Source organism: Homo sapiens, chromosome 2 (assembly GCF_000001405.40).
Source record: "Homo sapiens chromosome 2, GRCh38.p14 Primary Assembly".
Taxonomy (NCBI): domain Eukaryota; kingdom Metazoa; phylum Chordata; class Mammalia; order Primates; family Hominidae; genus Homo; species Homo sapiens.
Genome location: NC_000002.12, coordinates 76,822,065 through 76,847,921, shown reverse-complemented (window position 1 = coordinate 76,847,921; position 25,857 = coordinate 76,822,065). Strand labels below are relative to the sequence as shown.

The 25,857-nt window shown below is 34.1% G+C and overlaps 1 protein-coding gene across 4 annotated transcripts in view; it reads left to right on the top strand.

Annotated features, from left to right (window-relative positions):
• LRRTM4 (leucine rich repeat transmembrane neuronal 4) overlaps nucleotides 1-25,857 on the top strand; it is a 774,692-nt gene that overhangs the window by 674,455 nt on the left and 74,380 nt on the right. The gene's annotated exons all lie outside the window — the stretch shown is intronic.

Below are 25,857 nucleotides of genomic sequence, written 5' to 3'. Positions count from 1 at the left end.
CAAAAATGTTTACTGAATGATAGGCAAATCTCACTTGTATATGCAAGGAAGAAGATTTAGCATGTCACTTTCTTATGTAAATTAATTTAAATGTTTATAAAATTTTATTAAACATTCAAATGTGATCTAATTTGAAACTTTACAAATGGTTAATACACATAATCAAAAATTTCTTATAAAGTAGTTAATAAAGGTAAAATAAAAGTGAGTGTCTATGGAATGTTTACAAATAAGTAATGGAATATCATTATAAATGAAAATGTTCACTCAAAATTAAATGACATTTCCTTTCTTCTTTTACAAATAGAACTTCTTTTAATTATAAAAATAATTCAAAAGATAAGAAAAACTAAAATAAGTGTTTAAAGAAACCTAGACTGACCTGCTGGCCATACGTCTTTGATTGAGACTGAAATTAATTTTAGTAAACTAATAGGAGAAAACCTATATAGAAAAGGGGTTGGAGGAAGAAGAGAAGATGACAAATAGGAAAGTCATTGGCTCATGAAAAAACTGTAAACTGAAAAGAGAATTATTTTGGAATTTTCAAAATTCTTTTCAAAATTTTTAAATACTATAATCATAATTATTGTTACAGAAAACATCTTTTCTATCGGAAATTATGTTACAAATACAACATTAAGTCTAGCAGAATTTTCAGGCTAACCTGTGTGTGTTAGGAGTGGGTTGCAAATATGTTGAGAGTGGGAACAAAAGAGTGATGAATGACCAAAAGATATAATTTCACAAAACTTACGAGCTTTCCCTGAAACAGTTGTAAAAATGATTCCTTTTTCGTATTTTTTGAAGGACTCCACTTAAAAGCAGACTGCTCTAGTTGGTTCTTGATATCTAATCTATCTGGAGAGCACTGGTCTAATAAATACATACCTGTTGTCTTCCAAAATCTATCTCAAATATTATTCTCCTCAGAAGATCTCTAAACCTCTCAGCTGGAAGAGTTTGTTTTTAGTTACTCTCAGCTCTATTACAAACTATTCATTTGTATTTATCATATGACCTTTTTACTTTCTAACATCATTTAAAATTAATTATGCACACTTGATCTTTCTCTTACCAGATAATGGGCTATATCCATGAAAATTTCTAGGAAACCCACCCTTGCCATTCCTAAATACAAAGATGTTCTTAGTATATAGTTGGGAAAAGAAATGTGAGTTTATTAACATTTGTATGTAAAGCAGGCAAACCAACCAGATGTTCTAACTATTCAGGTATGTTTTTAATTAAATGAGTAAAGCAGGCAAACCAACCAGATATTCAACTATCCATATATATTTTTGATTAAGTGAGTGTTTCTCTTTATTTCTGTGATGAACTGATATAAAATTATTAGATAGCATTTATGGTAGATAAAAGATAGATAGCTAGATGATACTTGGGTAGATATTGAAAGATTCTAACAGATGTTAGAATGTACATATACATGTAAAATGATATAAATGGAATAAAATCTGAATTTTGATCCATTTTAATAATATGTTTGTGATTATTCAGAATACTAGCATTAGTTCTGAGCAAATTATCCTAAGTGAAGTTTGTTTATGGCACCGGGACCAGGGCAACTTGAAGAAAGTGAGGACACCTGGGGCACCTTCTAAGGCGGTTATTCTCAGGTGCAAGTGCAGGGCAGCCCTTGGGAGTGAGTCCAGCCTTAAATGTTGCACCGTAGGTGTCTCGCTTACATCACTCTGGTCTCTGCAACTCCCCGTTTTGGAATTACAGTCATCCCTTGGTATTCGGGATCCCATAGGAATAGCAAGCCATTAGTTCCAGTATCCCCCACATACACTCCAATCTGCACATGCTCAAGTCCCAAACTTGACCCCACTGAATGCGCATATATATGAAAAGCAGGCCCTCCAATTACATGGGTTTTATATCCTGCAAATACCGTATTTTCCATCTGCATTGGGTTGAAAAAAATCCGTGTATAAGTGGATCTATGCAGTTCAAATCTGTTTTGTTCAAAGATCAACTGTATTCCCTGTTTTATCACCTTTGTTCCAGATTTTCAGAGCTTTCCCACCACCCCTAGCTTCTGAAACTTCCCCTCTCCCTAGGGCATTGAACCAGAGTTGTGTTCAGGAGCCACCCTCTCCCTATTCCTTACCAAAGCCCTACTCATTTCTGCAGCATTCATATGAAGAACACTGTCACACTGGAGACACATTTATAAATAGCCATTTTATTTTTGAGTTAAAAAAGACTGAAAAATATTTCATGTTAGCTCCCCTGGTGGTACTTCCATTTAATAGAAAAATGCCTTAATACAGAAGAATATATTTTTAGTGTTCTCAGTGCTCCCCTCTACCTGGGAGCTCACAGGACCAGGTCCCATCCCTTTCCAGCCTCCAGGTCAGGCCTGCCTCCCTCCCTGGAGAATTCTTCCCACAGAGGTCTAGCAGGGAGCCACCACTCACGTTACTGCACCTTGTTTTCAGCCAATAATGAGATCTCCCCTCACTTCAACCTCTGCCTCCTGGATTCATCCAATTCTTGTGCCTCAGCCTCCCAAGTAGCTGGGACTACAGGTGCTCCCCACCATGCCTGGCTAATTTTTGTATTTTTTAGTAGAGACGGGGTTTCACCATGTTGGCCAGGCTAGTCTCCAACTCCTGGGCTCAAGTGATCCTCCTACCTCAGCCTCCCAAAGTGTTGGAATTACAGACGTGAGCCACCGCACGAGGCCACACTTTTACTTTCTTATTTATTGTTACATTTTGCAGTTGTGTCATATGCATTGGTATTATTATTCTGATTGTCTTTCAGTTTGTTTACAGTCAGGTTCTACCTTTAAACTTTTTTTAAATCACAAAACGCCCATTCTCCAGCATTAAAGCAAACTGAAATAAGATAAAGGAAGCTTTAGGTTTTTGTGGCAGGGATTTGCTTTCATCACAAAAATGAATTCATATTTGCAATCCTGCCATACTTGTACAGGCCCTATGAGTAGGCTTTTCAGACTGTCACATTACCGCCTTTTGATTGGTAAATAATCCTTTTTTCATTTCTCAAAATGAAGAGAATATATTCTGTTTTTTAAAAAGACTAATCAATCTCTAAGCTGAAATCCAGCTACACAATATGTATGAGTTTGGTAATATTATACCAGCACTCCTCATTAAAAACCTCTAAGCAACATCCAAACATCATTAAGTAAGATGTTTAATGATTTCAGAAGAGGGGATTAACAGACATAATTGTCAATAGAAAGTATGGTCACATGCTTTTAGAATTGAGACTCAGTAGTTTTAAATTTCATTACTGGAAATGGTACATTGTTTGCTTCTTGGCTTGTTTGATAAACTTCAGTAAAAAACTACATTATAGAGTAGTAAAAAAATAGTTTCATTTAACTTTTGCTGATACAGATATGGAAATTGAAAAACAGAAAAGATGACTCAGTCTCTTAAGAACAGAAATGGTGGCTCTTTTCCAAGTATATTAATAAAGCAATTATTGAGGCCAGGCACGGTGGCTCACACCTGTAATCCCAGCACTTTGGGAGGCTGAGGTGGGTGGATCACAAGGTCAGGAGATTGAGACCATCCTGGCCGACATGGTGAAACCTCGTCTCTACCAAAAATACAAAAAAATTAGCCGGGCGTGGTGGCATGCGTCTGTAGTCCCAGCTACTCAGGAGGCTGAGGCAGGAGAATAGCTTGAACCCGAGAGGTGGAGGCTGCAGTGAGCTGAGATCATGCCACGGCACTCCAGCCTGGACGACAGCGTGAGAGTCTGTCTTGAGGCAGGTGGATCACAAGGTCAGGAGATCGAGACCATCCTGGCTAACATGGTGAAACCCCATCTCTATTAACAATACAAAAAATTAGCCGGGCTTGCTGGTGGGCGCCTGTAGTTCCAGCTAATCGGGAGGCTGAGGCAGGAGAATGGTGTGAACCTGAGAGGCAGAGCTTGCAGTGAGCCGAGATCACGCCACTGCACTCCAGTCTGGGCATGAGACTCCATCTCAAAAAAAAAAAAAAAATGAAAAAAGAAAGAAATTATCATTAATGTTTTAAAGCATGGGCTTTGGAGACAAAAAGGCCTAGTATTGATGTTGTTTTTACTTTTCATAATGAGAAATTTTGAAGATACATATAAGTAGTATTGTAGAATAAACTTCCTTACTGCCTGGACTCAGCTACCATCAACCCTGGCCAGACCTGGCCCATCCTCAACCTTCTCCAACTCCCTTCCTCCAAATTATTTTGAACATATCCCAGAAATAGTATTATTTTGTCTGTTTATTGTCCATCATGTAATTCTAAAAATGGGAATTAATTTTATTAACATAGTCACACTATTACCAGATGTACAAAAATAATTTATTGTTATTATGAAATATTCAGTTATCATTGAAATTTCCAATTGTTCATGAATGAGAACTGGGATTTAGGCCCTACTTTTCCATGGAAGCAACTGACCTTTTGCTCCTCTGTTAAATGAGCTTGAAAAGCCACCTGAAATACTTGTGAGAATTAAATTAGATATATATTATCTAACAGAGAGTCTAGGACTATAACTGAAGTTTTTTTTAAAAAAGGGTATCTTTAGAAGTCAATCTTAAATATTTTTGGAATATACATTTAATATAAGCCCTCAGTTTTTAGGCTCAAGTACAAAAGAATAGACCCTGGACAAACTTCAAACCATACTCTGACCATCTTCTGACTCCTCCCTTGTTTCCTCTCTCTTCTCTGGCCTTTGTAGATTGTTTCTCTACTTCTCCTCACTCAAATTTACCTAACCATGCAAAAAAGAGGATGGCTATCAACTGTTTGTCACTTGGAAATGTAAGCAAGCAAAACTACATTCTAATGTTGAAGGTATTGATTTACAAAAAGAGCCGAAATGTGTAAACCTTACCATTTATTTCAAAGCATAACTGACCATTTCTTTCAAGAAACATAAATTTCTCTTTGCCTCTGAACCCATAGAAGGGACAGCTGACTCCAACTATATATTTACAAAAAGTAGATATTCTCTCCTAATATAGGTGGATCTCAGCAATATATAACCTAATAACTTGCCACTCATAAGAAAATTGGAGGTTATAGACAATGGTTTGATAGGTGCAGCAAAACACTATGGCACATGTATACCTATGTAACAAACCTGCACATTCTGCACATGTATCCCAGAACTTAAAAACAGACAAACAAACAAAAAAAAACTTTTATAAAGTTAAAAAAAGAAAATTGGAGGTTAATTCTCTCCTCTACATACCCATGCAACCATTCTGTTTTTCACTTTCAGTGCAGTATTCAACAAATTATGTGAGTGAGTCAACACTTTATCTTAATATATAGGCTTTCTATTAGATGATTCTGCCTAACAGTAGGCTAATGTTCTGAGTATGTTTAAAGTAGGCTAGTCCAAGCTATGCTGTTCCATAGGTTAGGTGTGCTAAATGCATTTTCGACTTATGGTATTTTCAATATACAATGGAAATCAAAGAGCATCATATGTATGTTTATATGTGTGTGTGACATACATATTTATTAAAACATGTATTATAAGCTATTGACTTACATGATTACAGAGGATAATTTCCACTATCTGTCATCTGCCAACTGAAGTCAGGAAAGCCAGCGGTGTAGTATGAAGGCCTGAGAGCCCAGAGAGCCAATGGATTCTAATCCAAGCCTGAAAAGCAGGGAACCAGAAGCACCGAGGCCTGCAGAAGATTGATAAACCACCAGCCCAAGCAATCAGGCAGAGTTAATTCAACCTTTTGTTCTCTTCAGGCCCTCGGCTGATTTGATGTTGCCCACCCATAATGGGAAGGGCCATCTGCTTCACTCAGTTTACCATATTCAAATTTCAGTCACTCCTGGAAAACAGCCTCATAGACACACCCAGAAATAATGTTTAACCAGCTCTCTGGACATCCAGTAGCTCAGTCTAGTGATACATGAAATTAATCATCACAAGAAATGTCCAAATTTTGCCTTCTATGAGCAGCGCATGTGTGAGCCCATTGTCCCATAGCTTCACTGACATCTTCCTCTCTAGTTTTTTCAGATTTGATATGTGAAAGTAATACCTCTTTTTAAAAAATCTTTAGTTCTTCAGTTTCTAGTATAGTTGAATATTTGATATTTTATTGGTTATTTATTTTGCCTTCTTTCATTTTTATATACTTTTTTACATTTTTCTAATGGAGTTTTTGTCTATTTTGTCTTGAATTCTTTTATATATATATACACAGTAAAGTTTTTTTTTTTTTTCTCCAGGTTACCAAATTGATTCTGAACCTCCTATATTTTTAACTGGAATTGTGGGTCTTGAATACTAATAACCAGTGAAATTATATTGCATTTAAATTTAAGGATTTAGAAGTATTTTATAGTAATCAATTTCCTTCCCATCCCAGTGTAACAAAGGACTTTTAAAGACAGTAAATTGAAAGTGACATGTTCCTGGATGTATGGTCAGAGAAATGATAATTTTTTTTAATTTTATTATTATTATACTTTAAGTTTTAGGGTACATGTGCACAACGTGCAGGCTTGTTACATATGTATACATGTGCCATGTTGGTGTGCTGCACCCATTAACTCGTCATTTAGCATTAGGTATATCTCCTAATACTATCCCTCCCCACTCCCCCCACCCCACAACAGTCCCCAGAGTGTGATGTTCCCCTTCCTGTGTCCATGTGTTCTCATTGTTCAATTCCCACCTATGAGTGAGAACATGCAGTGTTTGGTTTTTTGTCCTTGCGATAGCTTGCTGAGAATGGTGGTTTCCAGCTTCATCCATGTCCCTACAAAGGACATGAACTCATCATTTTTTATGGCTGCATAGTATTCCATGGTGTCTATGTGCCACATTTTCTTAATCCAGTCTATCATTGTTGGACATTTGGGTTGGTTCCAAGTCTTTGCTATTGTGAGTAGTGCCACAATAAACATACGTGTGCATGTGTCTTTATAGCAGCATGATTTATAATCCTTTGGGTATATACCCAGTAATGGGATGGCTGGGTCAAATGGTATTTCTAGTTCTAGATCCCTGAGGAATCGCCACACTGACTTCCACAATGGTTGAACTAGTTTACAGTCCCACCAACAGTGTAAAAGTATTCCTATTTCTCTACATCCTCTCCAGCACCTGTTGTTTCCTGTAAATTTATAATTAGAAACAAGAATTCAGATATCACTACTAATTCCATTCTCTTTCTCTCTCTCTTTTGTTTTCTTACCTATGTTCATACAAAGTGGAGAAATGATTGCACATGTAGTCGGGGCAGCTGTGAAACTCAAGCAGTTGGTTTCTCCTTTTTTTCTTTTTTTAAGTCTTTTTGACTTCGTTTGTTCCTTTAATGATTCTATCTTTTGCATGTGAAGACTAAACTTTTACATTTACTGCACATAAACATTAACCTTTTCTATTTACTGGCATTTTGCTTCATGACCTTGTCAGATGATTGCTGACTTTCCATCAAGGATACTTAAACACCTGTTGGGTGCCAAGAGGCATGTTCTCAGAAATACAAGAGAAGGGAAAGAACAGCTCTGTTATTGCTCTCAAAAGGCCAGGTTTGTAGAAGACAGCTCCTGAGAGGATGCTTTTACCCAAACAATTGTGGAGATACATTTGAAACTTCCTTCAGAACCTATTTGCATTTTCATTGTATTTTATTTAAACTATAGTTTTGGGGAAAAAAATAAATCCAAGTTGATCATTATGCATTTCACTAAAATAAATTTAAAATTAAGCCCCTCCCCCTGTCTTCACGTTATACTTCTTCACAAGAAAATTCATTTTTCCAAGGGAAAACAATGATATTCAAAAGCATGCTGTGATTGGGGTCCACAAAACAAAGCTAAAGGAGGCTTTTCTTGGAGTAGAACAGTATTTAGGCAGCAGGGGGTCTGCCTTATTCATCATTGTGTCTTCAGGGCCAGATTGAATGTGTGACACATAGGAGACACCCAATAATTCTCACTAAGTGAACAAAAGAATTCCAGAATCATTTGATATAACAAGAATTTCCCAATAAGACACTGGCCTTTATATTCTTCCTCATACCCAAGGAACAAATACTTTCTTTTTATGCATTTTTACAAGATTTACCATTAAAAAAAATAAAATTGTATTTAGATGTTACCTAAATTCTTTAAAAGTATTAGAATCATAAACAAACTATTATTTGATAAGGAAATCTATTTATTATGATATATAAAACTACATGCTTTCAAATAAGGTAATTTATTTCACTATATGGGAAAAGCTATGTTTGAATAATTATATTTTCATGACACTTTTTCTGAGTAACCATCTCCAGCATACAAGAATGATAGATTAGAAATGACAGGATCAAAATGAGCTAGCAGGTTGGCTTGATATGCAACTGAGGCTTAATAGATTTGAAAATATTATTAAATATTTAGCTACAAAGAAAAGATATTGCTTGTAAATTTTCAAATTACTATATAGCAAAAGTAATGCATTGATTTCTTGTTACTTTAAGATCACCATTAGAGAACTTAAGGGCAGTAAAATATTTTCAGTTATAAAACAATTGATCATTTTCTCCTTTCTACTGTGAGTTTTGCCCCTCTGACACCTGAGTAGAACTGTGAATGCAATCTTGTGTTGGTGCTTTCAGAGCTTCCCTTTCAGAAATTGTCATTTGAGGATAAAATGTCTGTATCTCTCTACCTCATTGACTCCCCATCTGTTGTCAACAATCATTGGAGAGCACTTCTTATTTTTCTCACGTTGTCCCTTAATTTGTCTCTTTTTAACAGTTTCATAATTAACAGTACATTGTGGTAAATATCCTTGGGAGAAATGCTACAAAAACATTTCAGTGCAGAATAGTTACATTACAGAGGTCTTGAGGTAATCTGGCTCCTATAATGGTACCCACATTCCCTTTCTTTTCATTGAGAAATAGACACATGTATTTCATTGCCAGTATTGTTAGTAAATACAAAATTATTATGTAAACTGAAACAAATTGGAAGGTTAGGTTTATTTTGTGACTAAAAACAGTGTCCTTAAATAACGAATTATGAAATGTATAATAAATATCTGAAATTTTCGAAGATGAAATTCAGGATTTTATCTAGCTCTTTGAGTCCATCCATGAGCTGTTATTAACATGTCCCATGTTCAACGTCAAAATAGAGAGCATCATTTCATCCAAATAACACCAATTTCTTAAAAATGCATTTTTACATGTTTCTGGATGTTATTCCAGGAGAGATTCAGAAAAGAAACTGGCTGTACCATTTCAGAACACAGTAAGTGTTAATAGCAACTTCAAGTAGAGAATGGCATTTTGGCTTCTTTATGTATTAAATAGAGGTGGGATGGGGGAACAGAAAATGAATTCCAAATGTAAATTACAAAGACATTTGAGATAACAAAATCAGAATATGTTTCTGCAAGTTGAAATTCTTTTACACTATCATTAATAATAGTATGCTGGAGCCTGCATTATTTACATTATTTGTCCCTACTCAACAATTTCTAGTTCTTGATTTAGGGCTACACATTAAACTTCTTGCAAGAAGCCTTCTTATATTAACTAATTATAGTTTTAGAAGTAGGAAAACAACTATCAAAAATATTTCACAGAGTAAAGTAGTTGAAAATGTGCTTCAGTATAAGTCAACCAAAATTATTTCTTATGGTGATGTAAATTGAATGATATATGTGATTACGTACCTCTTTTATATTAATTTCTTGACTTTAATGAGACTTTTGAGACTTGTTTATATAAATAGTACTAATAGTTTGAACATACCCCAATTTTTTCTTCTTCTTCCATTCTTTTATTATTATTATTATTATTATACTTTAAGTTTTAGGGTACATGTGCACAATGTGCAGGTTAGTTACATATGTATACATGTGCCATGCTGGTGTGCTGCACCCATTAACTCGTCATTTAGCATTAGGTATATCTCCTAATGCTATCCCTCCCCCCTACCCCCACCCCACAACAGTCCCCAGAGTGTGATGTTCCCCTTCCTGTGTCCATATGTTCTCATTATTCAATTCCCATCTATGAGTGAGAACGTGCGGTGTTTGGTTTTTTGTCCTTGCAATAGTTTACTGAGAATGATGATTTCCAATTTCATCCATGTCCCTACAAAGGACATGAACTCATAATTTTTTGTGGCTGCATAGTATTCCATGGTGTATATGTGCCACATTTTCTTAATCCAGTCTATCATTGTTGGACATTTGGGTTGGTTCCAAGTCTTTGCTATTGTGAATAGTGCTGCAATAAACATGCGTGTGCATGTGTCTTTATAGCAGCATGATTTATAATCCTTTGGGTATATACCCAGTAATGGGATGGCTGGAATCTCTGGGACACATTCAAAGCAGTGTATAGAGGGAAATTTATAGCACTAAATGCCCACAAGAGAAAGCAGGAAAGATCCAAAATTGACACCCTAACATCACAATTAAAAGAACTAGAAAAGCAAGAGCAAACACATTCAAAAGCTAGCAGAAGGCAAGAAATAACTAAGATCAGAGCAGAACTGAAGGAAATAGAGACAAAAAAAACCCTTCAAAAAATTAATGAATCCAGGAGCTGGTTTTTTGAAAGGATCAACAAAATTGATAGACCGCTACGAAGACTAATAAAAAAAGAGAGAAGAATCAAATAGACGCAATAAAAAATGATAAAGGGGATATCACCACCGATCCCACAGAAATATAAACTACCATCAGAGAATACTACAAACACCTCTATGCAAATAAACTAGAAAATCTAACAGAAATGGATAAATTCCTCGACACATACAGTCTCCCAAGACTAAACCAGGAAGAAGTTGAATCTCTGAATAGACCAATAACAGGATCTTCCATTCTTATAATTGCCTAACTTCTGAGGAATCCAAAGGTGACAGAATGATTCCAACTTAATATTTGAGTAACTTACAACATGAGGATTTCAGGATATCATAAATTATTTTGATTAACTGTAGTAACTAAATTTTTGTGAAAATATTCTTGTAACATAAGGGAAAAGACAAACCAATTTCTCTTAGACCGGCCTAAAAAACTCACAGCCATACATATGCCCTAGCCCCAAGGTACATTCTTCTCTTTGCCTTTTTAGGCTTTAAGAAATATATTCTGTTCTGTATTGGCTATATTTTTGGTTCTGAAAATGTGAATAGAAATCCCAGCTGTGCTACTTAGTAAATGTGTGCATTTGGAGAAAATAATTAACATCTCTGAACCTTTATTCCCTCATAGATCTTATTATTGGAAAATGTTATTAGAATTAAGTGATATTTACATAAAGCATGTAGCACAGTCTTTGTTGTATAACTGTTCATTAACTGTTAATTATCATCAATATTATTATTACTGCCTTTACAACTAAAAATGGCGAGGGGTGGGGGAAGGACAAGAGAAGAGAGATATATGAAAGAAAACGAAGGTGAGAAATAACACAGGAAAGTGTGAAAAAATGCCCGGAGTGGAAATTTGCAAATGCTGGCATAGACATGATCAAAATAAAACAAGAAAGAAGAAAGATAATATGTGTTGAGCAAATACAATATGCCAAGAAATAACTTGTCTCAAGCTTAAAAAAAACTTGATTAGGTCTTGCTTTTCTGTTTATGATGAAATCGAGGCTCAGAAAAAAATATGTGATTGGGCCAAAGTCCAACCAATATACTAATATTCTACTGACAAAAAGGAATTAATATTCAGGTAGTTTCCTTCACTGTTATTTTTTTTTTTTTTTTACCGCATACTATAATATCTTGAGACTGGAAAACTGTCTTCAAATACACCTTAGAAAACCTGGGCAAGGAAGAGAGTCATTGGTATTCTGATTATTTTGACTTCTCTCAACTTCTTCCCAACATTGTGACATATACTCTTCTACTTAGTACCAAGGGAAAAAAGAAATATCCCCTGGGATTTCAGAGGTTCTACTATCATTTAGAAATTCAAGAACGTTGCTAATCTATAATATTAAATTAAAATAGTCCTGTGGATTTCACATGATTATTCACTCCAAAATATTTTGAAAAATTTTCTCACTCATATTCATAATCTATTTTCTGATAGGTCTCAGTGAAACTTATTTTTCTTGTATGTTAGTTTATACATAGTTTTAAATAGGATGCTGGTCCACTGAGGTAACCTTCCTTAAGTGACCTTACCGTGACAGGTGGATGTATAAAGAAATATATACCTAAATAAATGTGCAAATAGTCAAGTTACCAAACACATTTGCTATTGCTTTTCTCATTGAGCTTTCTTTCAGGAAAACACTCCCATAATTTGAGACCAATTCTGACAGAGGTTTTACTTATGATCAGAGCATTTATTTTGCTTCAAATGATCAAAGCTGAATATATTATTACAACTCTAAAATAATATAAATGACATTTCTTAGTCAGAAAGTTCTCTTCCTTTCTCTAAATGCAAGAATAAATCAGAAATCTTCACAAATAAGTCACATGTATTACTCTTACTATTCACCATTGATTTTAGAATTTAAGATAAACTAAAGTTGTATTTGTTTTTCTTTTTTAAACTGAAACATGATGTTTCTCACCTTATAAATCTATGCATATGTTAGGAGCCAGACACTCACATTAGTTTTCATTTAGTGTTTTTTTCTCTCAGGGCTATATATTTTTTTAACTTTATTGGGTGTAATTAAGGGATACATACTTAACCTGTACAATTTAATAAGTTTTATTCATTATACTTTAAAGAATGAGCTCTGTTTGGGAATTTAGGTGACTTGCCCAATACACATCAAGTTCTGAATTTGAGGATACATTATCATGCACAAAGAATAAATTAGAAACAAAAGAATGATTCTTTCAAATGTTCGGATGCTATTGGTCTTATGTCTTCCTTATGATATTACCATGGGGATGATCTCTCTTGATGGAATGTATCTTGGAAACCAGAGTTAGGCTGCAAGGATTTTGATGTGTCTTCTTATTAACTTTTGTAGAGCTAAAGGGAAGATCAAACTTTTCCAGTCTTCTGAAAAACTCTTCTTGGTCATGGTCTACAAAATTTCACTTGGCATTTATTCAAGTACTATTGCATAACATAATATGCCCTGGTATTTCTTCTATTTTCATTGAGTGAATTTTATGTAGGAATCATCTTTCCAAAGAGATCTATACATTTTCTATGTGTATCATTTCTTCAAGAAAAGTATAAGCTAACAAACTAGATATTTTTATATTCTCACAAATCTTAGCTCAGAGATAAAGAGTAATCTTTGAATAAGAGTTTGAGCCAAGGATTAGAGAAAGCATTTGTATCCCAAATGGCATATTATCTAAATGACATTGAAAATATGATTATAATTAGAAAATATAAATACGTTGTCAAATGAAGCAAGCAGAAATGGGATGGAGACACTTCTAATTGTACTTAGATCTTAAACATACTTAATTACAAATACAAAGGAGCTATTCTCATTGAAGAATAATTTAGAGTAACGTATATCTTGAAATCTCCTCTTTAGAGTAACAGATATTTTGAAATCTCCTCTAAGTACAAAAATAAGGGCATGCTCTGGCCGGGCATGGTGGCTTACGCCTATAATCCCAGTACTTTGGGAGGACGAGGCAGGCAGATCACCTGAGGTCAGGAGTTCGAGACCAGACTGGCCAATATAGTGAAACCCCATCTCTACTAAAAATACAAAAAAAAAAAAAAATTAGCTTGGCATGCTGGCGGGCACCTGTAATCCCAGCCATTAGGGAGACTGAGGCAGGAGAATTACTTGAACCCGGGAGGGAGAGGTTGCAGTGAGCCAAGATGGTGCCACTGCACTCCAGCCAGGGCCACAGTGCAAGACTCCATCTCAAAATAAATAAATAAATAAATAAATAAATAAATAAATAATAAATAAATGAAAAACAAGGGCTTGCTCCACTAAGTCCTGGTTATCATTCAATAGGACAATATACATCCTTTTTAAAAATTGCTTATATGAAGGATATTTAATGGCATTAGGGAAAAGGGAAAAGTTAAGATAGAAAATACATAAATTGTCTTCATTATTTGTGATTAAATAGCACAGTATATAAGGTACATGCATATTAAAATATTATTTTGCTATTTTCTCTAAGAAAAAATATTTTAAGTTTTACTAATTTAAAATTGTCTCATTTTCACATGTTTTACATTGAGCATGTAGAATATTTTACAATTATGAGATTTCTTTAGGAAGTCATAATGAAGTAAAATAACTTTAAAGAATAACAATTTAGAATTTTACAAATATGTATTTATTAATGTCATATCTTACAATATTATTATATTATTTACTGGTAATATATTATGAATATAAATTTATAAGTGGATATTCTGATACACAGTTAGTTAAACTGAGAAAATGAACCATCAATTTTCTACTGGTTTTTAAAACCCAACCATCATGCGTTTGAAAACTGTTGTATATTAGGACGGCTTATGTATTTTTAACTTTCTTTATATCTAGTTTCTCTAGAGCTGAGATAAAATATGTTTAGTGTAGATAAATTTATGGATTCAGCTACCCTGACCTCTCAGAACATCCATACAAAGTTGGAGGACAAATGGCATATTTACAATCACGGAGTTTGCAGCACGGATATAGATGGATAAGTCACGGAGGATTCTTTTAAAGGAAAATAGGAGCTTTAAAATAAAACTCTTCACCCTTTATGATCACTCCCTTGCAGAGGTCATTTACTTTCATGGTTTCAACCATTATTTTATGTCAAATAACTCCCAAACCTGTATTTCCAACCATAATCACTCACCCAAGTTCCAGATTTGTATTTCACGCACAGTTCCATGTAAATAGCTAACAGTCATTGCAAGCTTTAAACAATTCAACATCACTCTTCCCACCAAAGTAGCATGTTCTACTTTCTAACTTTCCAGTTTTGCTAATAGTGCAAAAGTGTGTCTAGTGTGCCATACTCTCCTTCTCAACATGGACAATTTGGTAGCATAATTCCTCTGGGTCCTGTAGTTCCTGGGTTACACGAGTCAGCATGTTCCATTCATTGACTTTTCCTAGTCCTCCACAGCTTTCCTCTGCAAACCTTGCACCCTAATCTAGCTGTCATCATTCATATCTATAAACTTATAGTTCTCTTTGTTTTAGAAGTTTTTAGGTACGTTAGAAATGTCATCGCTGGCTTTTAATTAATGTTACTACCTTGACCCACAAGCTATGGTTAACATGACAAGTTATGGAAATCAGAATGTTATTTAGATTCAATCTCTAGGTATGGAGATAAGCTCATTTTAACAATCTTTCTTTAATAAACTGGATATGTGTTGAGAAAATGCAAACTCTAATAGAAAAGATAAAAATATTCATTCATCCTCAAGAAATATTTACCTAGGACCTAAAGAGTATTAGTCATCTCTACCCTATTAAGCAGTGTAGACAAAAAAAAAAAAAAAAAAAAAAAGCCCTTCGAGGATGCACTGAAACTGTGTGTTAGAAAATAGACTTCAGGAAATCACAGCATGTGCAGTTCACTTGGTGGCCAGAGAAGTACTTATGTTTATGTGTCTGTGTGTATGTGTGTGTGATCTTTTAATCAATCTGAATACATGTGAAAGGCACCTGCTTTATATTCAACATATTCTAGGCTCGCTAAGGATACAAAGAAGCCTACGACAAACTTCCAAATTGCTTAGAATCAAATTGGTGATAGGAAACTCAGACATGCTAAACAAGGCAAATAAGATAAAATAAAATACAGACATCTCTAAGTATCAAAACTAATTTGTTCCTGCCAGTGTATTATAGAGTGAATGTTCAGAAAGTAGGAGCCTACATTAAATTACTTTACATGGAAAAAACTCATGGGTTTCCAGTGTATCCGGCATCTTCATAAAAATTGGTAAAATATTTTTAACAATCAGTATAACAATGTATTGATGATTTCTGGAGAAGATACTGCTTTTAGGACACCAATTATCACATTATTTAACATTTAGTAACCCCAAAAGGGTATGTGGGTATGCAGAACACAAAAACACTACATTGCGTCAAATATAGATTATATTTCCTTCTGCACAAAAATATAAACATACAATTTTTTTTAAAAAAAGCTAAATTCTCATTAAGGATGGGAAAGAGGTTAGTGACAACAGTAGGATCCCATAAGAGGGGTTGATCTGAGATATTAGTGTTCTAATATTCTTTCTCCCTGATACCAACATTTTCACTGGTGTGTGAACATATTCATTACACCATGGTTTCAATTTAGTTTATGGATTTGGAGTAAACCATTTCAAGTCATTACAGCAAATGTTGAAATATTGAATAATCAGATATCTAGGGATACATCTTTTTATAGGCTGATGGTTGGGTGTTTGGAATTATATGTGCTATAGAATTAAACGGAGAATCAACCCAAAGCTAGAGTAATCAGGAAACATTAGGGAGAAACCATTTAAGTGAGTATCAAAATTAGATAAAGAACCAAAGCAATACCAGGTGGTGTAGAACACAGAGTCAACAATATGATGTCCATGGAGACATGTTATTTTCAAAACACAAATGCGAGCGTGTGCACACGCACACACACCAATGAAGCTACAGAGCAGAAATATCAAATTTACAAATAGTATCCTGTAGTTGCAAAGTCTATATGTATTTATTATATTCACTATACATGTTTGTGTCTTTGTTCATTTCACACACACACATATGCACACATACATTCACATATATAGATACACTCAGAATTCATTATATTGTTAGCCATGACTTAGTATTTCAAAATTACAAATAAAATTAAAGAAAGGCAATCTCTACTAGCAGCATCACCTTAAAACAAGACAGGAGGTAAATCATCATTAACTTTGTAAGAGCAAACACAAATATTCTTAAGAGTAAGTAATTGATTAGTAATTCAAATCCAATTATGCTAAGTTGTAACCACAGAAAACCTGTATAATTTTGAAAAATGACCATAATTTGAAGCATGGCATTGTTTATATTTTCATATTTTCTTTATTAGGTCAGAGATAAATAATAACAGCTATTTTTGGATCTGAAAGACAAACTGGAATTAACATTGTGTGCATTTTACCAATGTCTCACCTGCTCTACTTTAAATTGTTTAATATAGAAATTTTTACCTTTTTAAAATAAGCACAATCTCCCCATTTCTTGTTTTTCCAGTGTTAATTTATAACATTATTGTTTTAAAGACATTTTGATGATAATTAATGGTAATTTAAAATTTTGAGACAAAGACTTTAATTTTAATATAAATATAAAATCTTAAAATTTCAGAAACTAAAAGATGCAAATATTCTACTTCCATTTCACTGTTATGCTCCCTGGGTCACTAGTGCAGAAACACACACACACACACACACACACACACACACGCACACACTGCCACACATAGACAACTTATTTTACACAGCAAAAAGGTAGGCAGGGATAAAATGTCTTTCTAGTCTTATTCTTCCACTACTTCACAGGGATTAAAAAAATAAAATATCAGAAGGTGAAAAAGGTTTAAAAGTGTTTCATTGGTGCTAATAACCAGATTAAAAAAGTGTAGATATTTAAAGAAAAGGCATATAGTTATTAAGGATAAAAGTAGAGTACAAACAACTGGCTTAAAGATAAGATTTTATAGTTTTATTGAACTGTGAATACTTTGATGATGGTAAGGAAAATGTAACATCTTACACTATAGATATGGAAGAATCTGGAGTTGCTAAGATTCTCCTGTGAAAAAAATAGTAGCCCTGGTAATCAGGTTACTGTTACTTCTGACATGTAAAATGATGAGGTGTTTTTTTTCTGTTGGGGAAGGTTCATTTTATAAATCAGTCATGTTAAAGATGCTCAGAGTTCTGTAATACACCCTGTTGGTAGTCTAAGGTTAATTGGATGGGCAATTAGTCTTTGATCATCTGTCAAAGATGTTGTGGAATACTGCCAAAGAAAAAGGTGGATTAAACTAAATGTCCATGCATGTTTCTTCACTCTCCATAATTCTATTATTTCGAGAATAAATTTGGTCAAAATGTCTAAGTGACGGTTATGATTTCCACAACCCTGATGAATTAAAATGCAAGGCAGAGGTCTCACACTTTAGGGGAGAGAAGAGCAAGAAGCTGCTAAAACACCAGAATACATTGCTTGTACATTCTGAAGGCACATAAATAATATCAACATCCCAAAGAAAATTGAAGAGGGAAGCATATTAATTTAAATATAAGCCTTGTCCTCCACATACATTTATTTAACAAAAATGCACTGAGTAATTTATGCACAGCAATGTATTAAGCAGTAAAAATAAATCCATTTTACATGTTATTACAGAGAGTGAGGGGAAGCCCTAACCAATCCAAGGCAATTACATGACAGTATGTAATTAGAGATTAGATGTGGTGCAGATTATAAGAGCTCTGGGGTCATAAGTAAGCAGCTTCTCCATGAAATAAAATGATCAATAAAGATAGCTAAGAGTAGGATTAAACCGAATCCTTAGGCAAGGGAGCCCTTTGTATTTGTGGGTTAGAACAAGAGTACAAATGGATACACTTACCTTGCATCTCCTCCCCTTTTTTTCCTACTTCTAGTTCTTCCTGCACTCGAGGAGCCTTATACACATGTGTATGGACACCCTCAACTAAGATTAAATTCTGCCTATAATTATCTCATTACCCAGCCAACAGTTGCTCTTGGGTTATGTCTTAAGTCTGTGTGGCCAATCTCCAGAGTGGCCAGCCTCAAGTGGAAGCAGACTTTGGGAACATTTGAGCAGAAAATGCAAATCCTGATGTCTAAGACTGTGGACTTGAAGGACACCACAGGTTTTGAATAGGGACATTCCCTTGGTTCCATACCCCTGGTCACATGGGAAGGGTCACAGCTAGAATAATGACAGAGCTAGGCTACTCAAAGCAGATGATTTAGGGAAGAATATAAGATATTTCATGGTATGAAATTACAGAAGGATGTCAAGGCCTAATTTCTGATTAGTTATTAGGGATCAGAGATTAAAGAAAAATGTACAGCCAGGATTAAAGATGGGAATGGCTAAGAAGACTGTAAAGGTGGATTGGGGTAATTAATGAGTTTCGTGCTAGGCTTTTGTACAGCTACTGAGTGAAAAGAAGCTGGGAGACAGAAGATGAATCTGTTTTTAGCTACTGTGAGGAGGCACACTGTGCTCATATGAGCTCACATTAATTAAAGTGCCTTTTCAAGTAAAGAAACAAAGATCTAACTGTTTCTAAAAACACAAAGAAAAATTTAGTTGTACCTAGCATTCATGTCACCCACAACTTAACAGCTGTGGTAAGAAACTGTTAACTTTCTAATGAACCTATACACATTTCTCTTATCCTTTCTCAAAGGGCAGCATTACACTAACACTTGAAAAGGAATTTTTTGCTTTCGTTACAAGTGTCACCATTTCATTCTCTGAACACTTCAAAGCACATGAAGTCAAGAGAATTAGCACTGAGTCTCTTTGAAATGTGCATTACAGTGATATTGCTTCCACTTCATATTATTGCTTCATTTTTAGACACTACACATATAGGATTCCGGCCCAAATAAGATGCAATTATGGAGGAAGCCTTTTCCTCTTGAAGTTTTAAGAGCTTTCCTACTTTACTGCAATTTTGGAGGAAGCAGCAACTCTTTAGAGAACCCAGTAGTGCCCTAAACGGCATGCTTAGGCAATCAGGCAATCACTTACCCTCACATCATTCAATGTTAAAGTGAAATTCACAGGAGATAATTCTATTTCAAAAATTGATAGTAACAAAGAAGTGACCAAATAAATGATTCTGTCTTTCATTAAATGCATAATCAGTGTGTAAACACTTACGCTAAGCAATACTTTTTCAACATAGGCAATACATCTTTTATTCCATCACTATTTCCCAAGAGTAAAAGCAAATGACTTTTCTTGTGTATTTTGAAAATTATTATTTCATTTCATCTATTGTCTTCCCAAACCAGACAATGGTTTTTAGAAACAGTAACTGTGGAAAATTAAAATTCTGATTCCTAGCAATAATATTATTATAACCATCTAGTTCCCTAGAAGAAATAGCTTTAAAATCAGACATGATGGGAAAGAGGAAAACAACCATAAGCACGTAGTATCTTGATAGGTATTGGCATTGCCTCAAACTAAAGCAATGTATTTGTAATCTTATCAGTACTCAATATATTGACCTTAAACACAATTTAAGAAATAAGTTGACTGTTTTTATTATCCTCATATACATCTTTACTACATGAACCTGAAGTTTGGTCAATTTGAATTGCACATTCTCAGAATCAGATAAGAAATGTTTCAATGCTATGAAATACATGTCAATTCATTAAGATAGAGTCATCATTATGTGTAGTTTCCAGCATCCATATGGTCCTCAGATTAAATCTGAGTTGCATTCACAGGAAACAGTGTAGCATGTTGTGCTTTGGTTTTAAGGGGGACTCAAACGCTTAGTAACCATCAATGCATATCTACTGAATAACATATTAAACAACCATTAGGAAATTTGTCTGCAAAGGCCCCTGGCGTTTGACCCTTCTCTTTAAAGACCCCAAATCTTTCTCTTCATGTGCTCAGAAATAATTAGGTCCTGAGAGACTAACCTTGCTATCTAAAATGTCCACAGAGCTGTACCATACACCAACTTTCTGTTCATTATTTTACAATGGAAAATAATGTCATAGGGACTGGAAATACTTAACTTCAGTGTGGCCAGCACATTATCTCCTCTGCAGTCTAACACTATGAGAAGAAGCCAAGTCAAAATCAGAAACCACTTTATTGATTTACCATGAGAACTAACGGTCTCAGGAGAGAGAAATACTCAAAAGTCCATTACATCAGCACATTCTCTTCACGAGAAGGACGTGCACAAGGGTGGCTTGTGAGCTTGGAAACAAAACAAGAGAACTGTCTGAATCAAAGCTTAATGTGCCTGTCTGAGATGGCTGGAAGCCACTCTCATGATTGTGATGAGTTTCCCTCCACAAATGGAAATCTCCATCCCTTTGGCTACAGAACTTTACAGTTATTTTTATTCCAGAGATGGGCTTTCCTTAGGAGATGAAGATATTTTGAGAGGATGGTTAATGTACACTCTGCTGTATAGTACTTGAATCAGTGTGATGCCCATATTTCCTGGTGACTTTCCTTTTATTTCTGCTTTTATGGCTGACCAAACCTTTCTTCTGAATGGCACAAAGTGTTTTTATTATTTTTTCCTTAAGTAGCTTAATGTCGTTCATTTAAAGTAGTCCTAAATCCTTCTGGCTTTTTAGCTATCCTGTCACTTACAGATAAATTTCAAAATCCACTCTTTGCATATATATGTATTTTTTCTATGTAGCAATTTATATTTCAAAGACAATTGATTCTCCTACTTTCCAAATCCTTAAATCCTTAGGGAGTACCTCAGTGTTGCCCTTAATAGTGTCAAGCTTTATTATTTTTTTCCTTTTATGCAAAACTAGATCATATATAAGGGTTTATATAACCTATTTAAGATTACACAGCTGATATGCCATGATGCCTAGCTTCAAAACCAGCTGTTTCTCATTCCTAGCCCTAAATTCTTTCCTACTCTATTAAGCTACTTCTTGGCTTTCCTATAATCCTTACCTTTAGCTTTGTTAAATTCTTTGTCTCATTAAAAATTGTATTTGATAATGATCTGATATATTCATTATTAAGAAAAAATGTTTCTGCACAGTTACCATGACATTTCTGTGGTCCTCTTTGTAGCAAATCTTATGGAAAATACTCGCTCATATACAATCTCGCCTTCCTTATTTTTCATTGTCTCCTGAACTATTATTCTATGTGTAATTCTATTCATTCAATTCCAAGAAACTATTTTATCAAGGTCATCAGTTACTTCGTGTTAGCAAACCCAATGTTCAGGCTTTTGTGGTTTGTAAAAATATATTCAGAAAAATTAAATACGTCTTTTGTAAAATAATTTCTGCTCTTACAGACTGCAACTCCATAATCTCTTGTTTTGCCTCCTGTCTTAGTGCTTGTTCCTTCTCATTTTTCTTTTCCAGCACTTTCCCTTTGACTAACCTCTTAGTGTTTTAGTGCTCCAGGCTCAGTTCCAAACCTTCTGCAGCTCGACCTTTGCACTCTCTCCCTAAGTGACCTCATTCGGTCTCATGAATTTAAACACAATGTATATGTCCCCATTTACATTTTTAGCTCTGCCTTTTTCTTAGCACTTTAGTATATTCAGTAGTCTACTTGACATCTCTATTTAGCTGTCTATCCATCATCTTACCCTAAATGGATACAAAATGGACTTTTTTACTTGCTTCCATAGCTATCACCCCCAGATATCCTCACTTCCGCATCTGCTTTAATCATTTCCATTTCAGTAAATGACAACTCCATCCCCACAATTGCTCGAGTCAAGTAGTTAGAAATCATTTGTAATACTTTTCTTTCTCCATTACATCCAATTCGTCAGTATATCAATTCCCTCTCTATTCAGAATATATCCTGAATCACACCATTTCCCTGCACTCTGACTACTGTCAGAATATTTCAACCAGCCATTATCTCTAGCTTAGGCTATTTGAATAGCCTCTTAACTGTCCTCTCTGCTTTAACTTGTACTCTTGGCAGCCCAGTTCTCCACCCAGCATATAGAAGACTATTTTAGAAATGTAAAGCAGATTATGTTTCTTTCCTTTTTAATCCTCTTTATTTCCTTCCATTCTAACTTTAATCACATTTAGCATTAAATGAAAATATTTTACCCCTTATCTATCTTACTAGAGCATGAACTATGAGACTGAGCTCTAGGTCTTTACGTTCTATCGCCGTATCCCAGCACTTGAAAAAGTTGCCCAGAACATTATAAATGCTTAGTAAAATTTAAAAATAAAGTAAATAATAAATAAGCAGTACCCCAATTGGAAGAATTTGGTACATTTGAAGTGTCATTTGATGGTCACTAGATGTATGCTGTGAAATCTGTCCTGATTACTTTTGTTCCCATTGCTTCTCTAATTGAAAAGAGTTCCATCCTGTGCTTTCACTCAAACTCTATTCATTCTTGATGGACTGTCAAATTCACTCCCAATTACAGTCCTACCATTAGATATTTCCTATGATCAGTCATCTTTATCTGCCTCTGGAATCCCATGAAAGATTGCTAACACTCCTTTGCGGTGTTTCAAATCAGTATTAACTGGTTGCTTATTATGCAAATATCCACAAACAGCCAAATATATACAAATAATACATACATAAAATATAGTTAAGGCCCTAATGAGATTCTCTCTTCCTCTAGGACAGATATCATGCCTTGCTCTTGTCTGCCTACTCTTTCCTTAGTGTTATACACATAAGCAATATTCAAAATAAAGTAGCCTGCTGACTCATTTAATAAATTGAGTGTATATGTGCTACTCAAAATAAGAATTTATTAAATGGCTATAATTCATTGGTTGAACATGAAAACACCTGAAGGAGAACATATTTATATGCATTCTATGACAATTATGCAGATACAAACACAAGTTAAAAATTGTATTCCATTCATGCATTTATGAGTGAACCAAGCAAATTATACAACCAGTCGAAAGAGAATGCAAAACACACACACATTTATAGATCAGGAATATTGAAAGATTATACAAACGGAGGCAAACACGCTTTCCATTGGAGATATTAATAGATTGTTGAAAAAAGTCTATTGAACCTCTACCAGACAAGACACGATTTGCATGTCTATAGATAGGAATTATTTTTATGTTACTATGAGATATCTACAACTTAAAGAGTTTTAAAATATCTCAAAGACAATGAAAGATAAGAATCAGATTACCCAGGTGGATGTCCTGTGGACAGGACACATGTGAGCACAAATTTCTCTCTGTCACTGAAGTCAGCCTTTCTGTATGGGTTAAATGAGTTGAAGTTGAATGGTTTATAATGTTATTTATTAAAACAACAAGACATGCATCATGTATTATAGAAAGTAATACATGCATGTTCTTATGTTTTATTTTTAAGTGCTATTTTATCTAAATTTAACAATATTTGTAACATATACATGGCAAACATTCTCCAACATTTTCTCTGCTCTTTGACTTTTATTTTTTGATATCTAGAAGACTTAATGTGTATATCACTAAAACAATCAGTGAATCCCCTCTCTTATGCTTTTATTTTGTTTATTGTTGTTGAAGAACTTGACTCTCATTCTCAATGAACGGAAGAACACTTACAAATATTTATTGTGGTTTGTCAAATTTTTTATTCTATTACATATAATGCTGTGATTCACGTGGAAATTATTTTGATACAGAAATTGTCAGGATTGAACTAAATATTTTCTTGATAATTAACTAAATGCTCTCCAACAAATGACTTATCCTTACTGCATTAATAAAAATGTAATTTTGCTTGTATACTCAGAGGAATAACTCACTGTTTTAATGTGTTTGTATGTGTGTGTTAGGTATAAATAATGAGTAACAAAGGTTTGTCTCATTGTATGTGTTCATGATTTCTACATGATTATGTATTCATGGCTGATTGCTTTTTATGCAAATTCATTTTTACTAATTATTGAAAGTAGATGGGATATAAGGTAATCTTTATTGCTAATTTTATTCTTTGTAATAGAAAGTAACCTTCAATTTTTATTCAAAATATTAGTTGAATTTGACAATATACTCAATTGATATCAACATATTTCTATATGTAATCATGGCATCAAGATTAATATGTGATCTTTTCTTTCTGTTCAATGTAAAATGATGAAATTAACCCTTTTTATTTTGTCTAATATCTGCTTCTCTCATTTTCTGTGTTACTAGTTTTACCTGTAGTGTTTTTGGACATAATGCATTATTTTTAAATACTACCTTAAAGTATATTATTTTTTCAACATTTTAGAAAGGTTTTGTGCGCATTGTTTTTTATTGCTTCATAAATAACTGAAATAATTTTATTACTTTTATATGGGTAAAGTCTTGACTGGAGAAAGAGTTCAACAATACTGACCATCTTATTTCAAATCCCCTTAGGCCAATGGGCAGGTATGTAATAATAAATAAATAAATAATAAATAAACTCAATCTCTGAAGTTAGTCAGACTTAGAGGTACAACCTCCTTTCACCACATAGTTTGTCTCTCACTTCTGAGTGGCTTGATCTTATTTATATTTTCTGCAAAGTATTAACTAATTTCTCCTTTGTCCTTGATTTCTACATTTGCTAAGCCAGTTCTGGTTAGCGTATTTTATTTTTTGTTCCTCAGAGTGGCAGTGTTTTTTTACATGTTGGTTTAGCTCACTTGGAATATAATGAGCTTTTTGCCTCTGAAAGTTCAGGGTTTTCTTCATCTAAATAAAGTTCATCTTGTTTGTTTTCTATTATTTCTTTTATTGTGATTCATTAACATTACTAGTTTTTTCTTTAGGAAACACAAATTTTTTCTTTTTACTCTCTTGTCCTCTTTTTGATAGCTAATACATTCTTAGTTGGATTTTCTTTTATGTTTATTTCTGTTTTCGCTAGAATATTTTCATTTACTTATCTTCCTTTATTATAATATCTAGCTGTCTTTGTATTTCTGCTTTTTTCTTAGTCAACACATTTTCCCCATCATTTCAGGCCTTAGTATCTCTTGTTTTTAGCTCTAATTTTATTAAGTTCATAATTTATATGACTGATTTTGAGAGCACAAGGCACGTGCTGTTCAAAAAAGAAATGGATTTTCTTGAGTAAATATTTTCCAGAGATAGGATCTCTGTTCGACTCTGGAATATCATATTTTTTCTATAAAATTTTACTAAAT